Source organism: Homo sapiens, chromosome 6 (assembly GCF_000001405.40).
Source record: "Homo sapiens chromosome 6, GRCh38.p14 Primary Assembly".
Lineage (NCBI taxonomy): Eukaryota > Metazoa > Chordata > Mammalia > Primates > Hominidae > Homo > Homo sapiens.
The window spans coordinates 153,843,515-153,852,492 of NC_000006.12; the positions used below are offsets into that span (position 1 = coordinate 153,843,515).

At 40.8% G+C, this 8,978-nt stretch overlaps 1 annotated feature.

Moving 5' to 3' along the window:
* Nucleotides 953-1,453: an enhancer, noted in NCBI's record as "OCT4-NANOG-H3K4me1 hESC enhancer chr6:154165602-154166102 (GRCh37/hg19 assembly coordinates)". NCBI's record gives its function as "activates a minimal SCP1, AML or CMV promoter by ChIP-STARR-seq in primed H9 embryonic stem cells {active_cell/tissue: H9 hESC(primed)}" and the evidence as "EXISTENCE:reporter gene assay evidence [ECO:0000049][PMID:30033119]".

An 8,978-nucleotide genomic window follows, 5' to 3' on the forward strand; every position in this document is an offset into this window, starting at 1 on the left:
TAAATAAGTAATTGTAATCCACATGTTCTGTGTTGCCAAAATCGTTCTGTTAAAATCTTACTGTGTTAGCTTTAAAATAGTTGAGATTAAAAAATTTGCTGAGGAAAGCGTTTTGTTTTTTTTTTTTCAATTTATAGGTCATTCTTTCCTCTTTAAATAGAGTCTCGAATATACCTTTAAAAGTCTCTTCCTTTAAAATTATTGCCAGAACTCTTCAGTCCAGAACTATTTCTGAAACTCTACGACCCAACATCCTCCTTAGAGCTCAGGACAGATAGAGGTGCCTGCCTCTGGAATATTTCAGTGCGTGTCATAGATTAAGTGCCCTGGAAATAGTGTGACATGGTGTATTTGTCAGCTTGGGCCACCATAACAAAATGCCACCGACTTGGTGGCTTAAACAATAGAAATTCATTTTCTCACAGTTCTGAAGACTAAATGTTAATGATCACGGTGCCAGCTGGTTTTGGGCCTGGTGAGGACCCTCTTTCTGGTTTGGAGATGGCTGCCTTCTTCTTAAGACCTCATATGGCCTTTCTTCAGTGTGTGTATTCAGAGACAGGGAGAGAGCTCTTTGCTGCCTCCTTTTATAATGACACGAATCCTAGAAGATCAGGGCCATGACCTTATGGAGGAGCATTCTTGGGGTTACACCTGTAAGGAACTGAAGAAGACAGGGATGGGCAAAAGTGCTGACATGCAATGTGGTTGCCATTAAGACTTCCACCTGCCTAAGGAGAGCTCTAGAACTGGGATAGTCCTTCAAGTTAGCCCCAAGTCACAGAAAAGGGTTGGCTGTTCACGTTCTCACAACAGTCACTAGTCAGAAACTGCCCTGGGAAAGGGCATAAACTTGATTATTGCAGCTCCATGTGTCCAAATACAATTCCCTGTGAAGGATGCAGCCATGACCTATCAGTAATTGATATGCCCAGCAGCTCAGGGAGGGGTGCATTGGTCCTGGGAATGCAATGTGAGTGAAGTACTGCAATATCCCTTGCATTCTCCAATTTGCTTATTTTTTATAGAAAGTTAGCCCCATCTGGAAAGAGCTTTCTCAGGGTGCTGGTTGGTCTTACTTCTGGGAGAATGTAGAAGAAAGTGGGAGGAAACAACCTGTATTGTTGCACAGTTAATCTCAAGGCCATAACTGACCCTCATCATCCTCTCCTCCAGCACTCATCTTAGATTGTTTTCACCTTGCCTGGCCCCTCTGTTGGTCCAGCTGGTGGCTTGCCACGTGGGGGACCTAGGCCCTTATCCCCAAGGGGTCTGAGTCCCAGTAGTTATTATGTCCTTCTCAGATAATGGATACTGTACCTTTCCGTTTAACATTAAAACTGGACAACAGAGCACCAAGAGATGTTTTAGTAGGTCACCTGAGCTCAAGCACTTTCCACCCCATCCCCATTGTACAGCAGCAGCCCTGCCTCCTCCTGCTGATCTGAGCTGACCACCCACTGAAATGGTGACTCCTTCACTTGATTGCCGGCCCCTTGACATGAGAAGACCAAAATAACCATATGAAAGAACTAGCTTAAACTGTAATAGGACTCTACTGTATCCTCTAGTGGAAAGCACTACCATTCTGAGAACCAAGATCTTTAGACTCACGGAGACTATAACTGTGGTAACAGAAATTACAAATGCCCTAGAGAAAACTGGGGTGATGGAAAGCAACACCACTTCTAATTCCATCTGTTGGTTCCCAGATCCATGTATTCTAGCCTAAAGCAGATACAGAACAACATAATAGTCATTGATTTTCAGTGAATACCACGTCCTGAAGTGAATATCATCCTCACAGGGTATGGTTTCCGACCAGGGACCTCAGTTGCACGTTTTAAACATGACTTTACCAGTGTATCAGATTGACAGGTTTTGGTTTGTGAGAATAATGATATAAAACAAATGGAGCGTGTAGTCACACATCCTCTACTGCAACTACACCTCATTTGTTATCATTTGATTCTCTTGGTCTAAGGACAGGTTACACAGTATCCTGTACCAGCAGACAAAATCTTCAAAAATCTGCAGCTAGTGATATTAGCAATGGCCTTGCAGTGGGAAATAAATACTCACACCCAAACTATCTGTGGATTCCATTAAGGATAAATCACTGCTTCTTCAGGGGTAGGAGAGGTCCATCGTAGTCAACTTTCTGGTAAGCTCCATTCCTTGGGTAAAGTGTGTCATACCAAGGGCTAAATATTGGTCTCTGATATTGCAAGCTGGACTTTTGGCAGAGGCTATAGCAAAATCATTATTGTTGAGAGAAAGCCCGTGCAACTCGGCTTTCACAACCACTTCTGCCACCATGGCTACTTCATTTATGTGCCAATTATGCCAGCCCTGTGACTGATTGATAGGGACTGGCTGATGTCAACTAGCCACATGAAAAAGAAGTGATTGGTTCATTGGAGGCATTGCTTGACTAGTGCCTCTGGTGGGTTAACCTGTGATACAGAGATCGTCATTCTGTGCCCACTCCCATAGGTCTATCCATGTGCCTCTTCTTCTGATCTTTTGGTCCCTGAGCTTCTAATCTTTCTCTTTTCAAATTCCAGACCAAGCATCCAGGACATTAACCAGGGATTTTAATCCTCCTTCCTGATAGAATGGAAAAAAAATGCATCTCTCAGTGGGTCTGTATAATATTTCACAGGCTGTGATGTTCTCCTCTAGTAAAGATACGCCATCTGACAAAGCAACTGCAATTAGAGCCACTGCTTGGTACAGTTTATGGTAATCCACTGTAAATTGTCATTATCCATCCATTCCTAGTAAAGGCTAGACTGGTGAATCTCAATGAGGATATGACAGGAAATACTAGTCCTACATTCTTTAAATATTTTAAAATAACGTTTATCTCTTCCTGTCCCCCCGTGATCTGCTATTGTTTTTGATTTGCTATTTTTCCTGAGCAGTGGGTCAGTTTCAAAGCATTATACTATATACTTTCAGTGCTCTTTCCCCTACCTTCATCCTTGGACCAAGAAAACAATAGGAAAATTCTGCCAACTACCACCTCTAGCCATCCCAAATGTAAATTCAAAATCTATGAAAATAAAAATCAACAGAGTCTTTAAACCCAGCGGACTCATTATAAGTTGTGCCTGGGCCAGGAATTCATTTATTATCTGGCTTCCATATATCCCCACTCAGACAGGAGGGCTAAGTTATCAATGGGTATTAATGTCAATTCAGACTCTATGTCTCATAATCCTGGAAATGTGTAGTTATTTCCCATTTGCCAATGCATGATTATCTAAGCAAATGACTAGAGATACCTTTGGGGAATAGTGGGGAAACAGCTATTGAATATGCTTGTCACAGTGTTGTAAGGTCCTGGTGGAGACATGACTTTTTCGTCAGTAAAGAGATTCCATATCTGAGAATTATCTAGGTCCAGAATCTGTCAGCTGCATTTGGATTTCTGATCATCCATCCCTGATTTCCTTTGATTGCACGAATAAAGTAAAAGTCTTGTTACTTGCCCATCTATCTTGTCCCTGAAATCACAATGTTCTCTTAACCACCTCCAGTTCTCTGTGGATTGGGACCCCTAGCTACCACTTTGATCTTTCCATTCATTGCAATAACTGCCTCTCCAGTAATTGTTTCTGTCTATTAAGTACTTTACATGGTCTGTATTATTATAGAACCCTATCATCACCATTGTTTACAAGGAGTCCAGTTTGTAGAGGACAGACACAGTAGAGCTTCTAAATGATGAAGTTCTGGCATCCCTCTCAAAAGCACATTCTCTGTTCAGTAAATGGAATGTTATGTTGCAGAACTTATTAGGCAAGTAGGTTTTCCAACCTTGCACAGTATATCTACTCCAGGATACTATTTTCAGAGCCTTTTAGTTCTTTCTTCCTTTGTCTGCCCTGACAGTTTGATCATATCCACTTCATTCAATGCGAGACATCACTTTTTAAAATTTCTAAGAGCACTTGCCAGTGTGTTAAACTCTGTATCACAGAAGAGCATCCTGTATCAATTGGTTGCCCCTTGATCCAACATCACGGGAGAGCTCTGCTATGCACATGCTTCCAGCTCTCGCTGGTACATAGTAACAGATCACACTGCTCCATTGATATATAGGTCCTCTCTTCCCTTCCCAGGTCTGGCACACCTCACCAAGTTGTGCTGCAATTTAACCTCTGTTTTGGTCTGATTGTGAGGAAGAGTGATAGAAGTAAATCTTAATTGGGAACAAGCATTGTTCTATAAGACATCTACCTCATCTGAGATTTATGATCCTCAAGCAAAGGCAAGGATAGGAGGATGGGTTAGAGGGAGTTACCTTCTAAAAAGGGGAATTAGGCAATTCTATAGGCCCAGAAAAATAAGAATAATTTATGTGTTCAAGGTTGAGCTGATCCCAATTCTCAAGGTCTCACTCTTTCCTTATTAGGGCCCTAACCTTGGTTTAAAAAAATCCATCAGGTCTCAGAATTCAACCTTTTTCTGGATGTCAACTACTCTTATGATTAAGTTCTGATCAAGGTCCTTCATCTTTTTGCCCTCTGGTAAGAAGGCAAAAGATGAGATTCTCCAGTTGTTGCGGGGTTTTTTGTTTGTTTTTAATGTTGCCTATAATAGGTAATTGATCACCCTGAGCCTGTAATTATATCTTTTCAACAAATCAGTGGAGCTCCAGTAACCTAATTCCATGGTCCTTATAGTTTTCCCTTTTCTCTCTTGACAGCCAAAAATAACGCATCTGTCAATGTATCTCCTTCCACAGGTATCTGGTCACAGTTCACTACAGGTGAAAATTTTAACAGTCGCATCAGTGCAACATGCCAGGAGCAATTCAAACACCACCCACCACCACTGATAGGGTCCTAGTGCCATATAGCTGGCAAGTGATCCATCTCCCAAATTCCATTTTAGATTCTGCTTCCTAGGACTGATACCATTACCTGCCTTCACCTGTGAGGCGGAGAATCATGTGCTGAAATATATTGAGAAGTGATCTCAGGAGGTACAGCTGCCAGGAAGTAAAAGCAGAGGTATTGGGCAGAGGAAAATTCTGACCTACAATGCAGTTGCCACTGAGATTTCAGAAAAACTTAAGAGAAGATCTGGAAATGGGAAGATCCTTCAACGTTGCCTCAAATAGGTATGAGGTGGGGCCTTAGCATTTTCACTTTCATTGTTGTTCACTGTTGGCCACAGGGTGCCCCCTGCAAGCAGGAGGAGCTGTTACCTTGAGCAACATAGTTCCCAGAGGCTGAGGGCAATTTCCACTGAAGGACACAGCTGCCAGCCATCAGCAAGTGGGAGATGGGTGCATGGGCTCTGAAGGGAGAAACTGGGTGGAATATCACAACATCCACTAAATTATTTCTCATCCTTCATATTTAAGCTCAATCATCACTCTGTCTGGGAAGTGTCCCATGACCTTGACCCATCCTCCTCCCCTGCCATACACCACAGGCTCTCAAACTAGGTCAGATCTCCCTATTACATACCTTCTTCACTTCCTGCACTATTCTTCATATAACTTATTCCACTTTTAGTTATAGGTTCATTGCTGTGATTATTTGGTTAAAATCTTTCTTCACCATTAAATTGTAAGCTCCTAAAGGGAAAGACTCTAATAGTTTTGTCCACCCTTGAACCTCCAGTGCCCAGCAGAGGATCTGTTATATATTAGTGCTCATTTGATACTTATTTCAATGAATATTACATTGGTGAATGACTATCATAGATGATGTATGTAGCTCACTGTAACAATGACATCATTATATAGTAAACTCTCCTCAATGGATATTGTAAAGAATGGATTTCTGCAAGGAAGTATAGCAGTTTTCCTCTGAGTATTGTATTCCTGGACAAAATTTGCAGCTTCAGAGAGAATGAGACAGCAACCTAACTAGTCAGAGTGTCTTGATAACTTCTGAAATCAAGATTATATTTGATTAACTAGTATTATATTTTAAAAGAGCATGTACTGACAACACCAAATGCTGCAAAAGGATATGGCAGCAGGAACTCTCCTTCACTGCTGGTGGGAATGCAAGATGACTCAGCCACTTTGGAAGACAGTTTGGCTGTTTCTTACAAAATTAAATACAGTCTTATCACACATTCCAGCAACTGCGCTCTTTTCACTTTCCTCAAATTGGTTGAAAATGTGTGTCCCCCAAAAAAAAAAAAACCTTCACACACATGCTTACAGCACTTCTATTCATAATTGCCAAAACTGGAAAGTAACCAGGATGTCCTCCAATAGATGAATGGATAACTAAACTGTGGTACACCCAAAAGGGGAAATAGTATTCAGCACTAAGAAGAAAATAGCTATCAATCCATGAAAAAAAAAAACATGGGAGAAACTTAAATGTACATTACTAAACAAAAGAACAAAGCCATCTGAAAAAGCTACATACTGCAGGATTCCGACTCGATGACACTCTGAGAAAGGCAAAACAATGGAGACAGTAAAAAGATAAGTGATTGCCAGGAGTTTAGAGAGAGGACTGAGTAGGTGGAGCACAGAGGATTTTTAGGGCAATGAAACTACTCTGTATGATACTGTAATGGTGGATACACATCATCATACATTTATCCAAACCCATAGAGCATACAAGTGAACTCTAATGTAAACTATAGACTTTGGGTGACGATGTGTCAATGTACATTCATCAATTGAAAAAATGTGCCATTCTGGTGGTGATTTTTTTTTAAGTTCAATTATTTTAAGTTCTGGGGTACATATGCAGAATATGCAGATTTGTTACATAGGTAAACCTGCACCATGGTGGTTTGCTGCACTGATAATCCCATCACCCAAGTATTAAGCCCAGCATCCACTAGCTTTTCTTCCTTACCCTTTCCCTCCTTCCATGCCCCACCCTCTAACAGGCCTCAGTGTGTGCTGTTTCCCTCAATGTGTCCGTGTGTTCTCATAATTTAATTCCCACTTATAAGTGAGAACATGCAGTATTCGGTTTTCTGTTCCTGAGTTAGTTTGCTAAGGATAATGGCCTCCAGCTCCATTTATGTTACTGCGAAGGACATGATCTCATTCCTTTTTATAGCTGCATAGTATTCCACGGTGTAAATGTAGTCTGATGATGATGTTAACAGTCTGGAAGGCTGTGCATGTGTAGGGGCATGGAGTATATGGGAAAGCTCGGCACCGTTTACTCAATATTGCTATGTGCATAAAACTGCTCTAAACAAATAAAATCTATTTTTTAAAAACAGTTGTGGCCGGGCGTGGTGGCTCACGCCTGTAATCCCAGCACTTTGGGAGGCCGAGGCGGGCGGATCACGAGGTCAGGAGATCGAGACCATCCCGGCTAAAACAGTGAAACCCCGTCTCTACTAAAAATACAAAAAATTAGCCGGGCGTAGTGGCGGGCGCCTGTAGTCCCAGCTACTTGGGAGGCTGAGGCAGGAGAATGGCGTGAACCCGGGAGGCGGAGCTTGCAGTGAGCCGAGATCCCGCCACTGCACTCCAGCCTGGGCGACAGAGCGAGACTCCGTCTCAAAAAAAAAAAAAAAAAAAAAAAAAAAACAGTTGTGTAAATGAAAAAAAGTGCTTATAAAACTTGTTTGCCTTGTATGACATGAATTTACATTTTAGTTCCATGTTGATTATTGCGATGGTTAATACTGAATGTCAACTTGATTGGATAGAAGAATACAAAGTATTGATCCTGGGTGTGTCTGTGAGGGTGTTGCCAAAGGAGATTAACATTTGGGTCAGTGGGCTGGGAAAGGGAGATCCACCCTTAATTTGGGTGGGCACCATCCAATCAGCTGCCAGCACAACTAGGATATAAAACAGGCAGAAAAACGTGAAGACTAGACTGGCTTAGGCTCCCAGCCTATATCCTTCTCCTGTGCTGGATGCTTCCTGCCCTCTAACATCAGACTTCAAGTTCTTCGGTTTTGAGACTCGAACAGGCTTCCTTGCAACTCAGCTTGCAAACAGCCTATTGTGGGACCTTATGATTGCGTGAGTTTACTCTTAATAAACTCTCCTTTATACATATATATATATAGGATATATATATAGGATAGATATACATATAGGATAGATATATATATAGGATAGATATACATATAGGATAGATATATATATAGGATAGATATATATAGGATATATATAGAGGATAGATATATATATAGGATATATAGGATAGATATATATATAGGATAGATATATATATAGGATATGTATATATATATATATATCCTATTAGTTTTGTCCCTCTAGAGAACCCTAATACAATTATGATGTTGATGAAATCATCAGTTGCTTTTAGACCATTTAAGAGGTTTAGGATGATATTTCATGAGATACAAACAAGAAAGCTTGGTTATAAATTCTGTTTTGTTCTGTAGGAACATTTTAGAGGAGGAACTTCTTGAATAGAATTCACCTCAATATACCTCATAAGGCTCATACTTCCATTTTAAATATCTGCCACAAGAGACACAGTTTGGCATCTCTTATTCCTAAATCATGAATTTCCAGAGACTGTTGCTTCTAACAATGGTTCTGTGTTTGTCTTCCATAAAGGTAAGAGATTTGTAAAAAGAACATTGATCTGAGCAGTCAATATCATGCTTTGTCTCCCTGAATTAAATGGTCATGTTTAAAGATTAGTGTGGATTATGCACATCGCTAAAAGAAACTGGCAACTGGACCTGCCAAGGGTTCTGTTGTGTAATGTCATCTCACCTTCCCAATCGTAGTGAGTCATAATGAATTATCAAATGAGCCACATCTCAGAATCTCCTGGAGCACTAAGCTCCATATGCTGTCCTGCCGCTCATATCCCCCTTTTTAACATGAGATTTAGTATTTGCTGGGAGTTATAAAACTGAAAGCATACTTTTCCAATAAACACATGCATAGCATGACCTGTGTACTCACTGTTCTAAGTGCTTTACAAACATTTAATAGGTGGGTTTTGGACACTATAATTGAAAAGACAGATTTCATA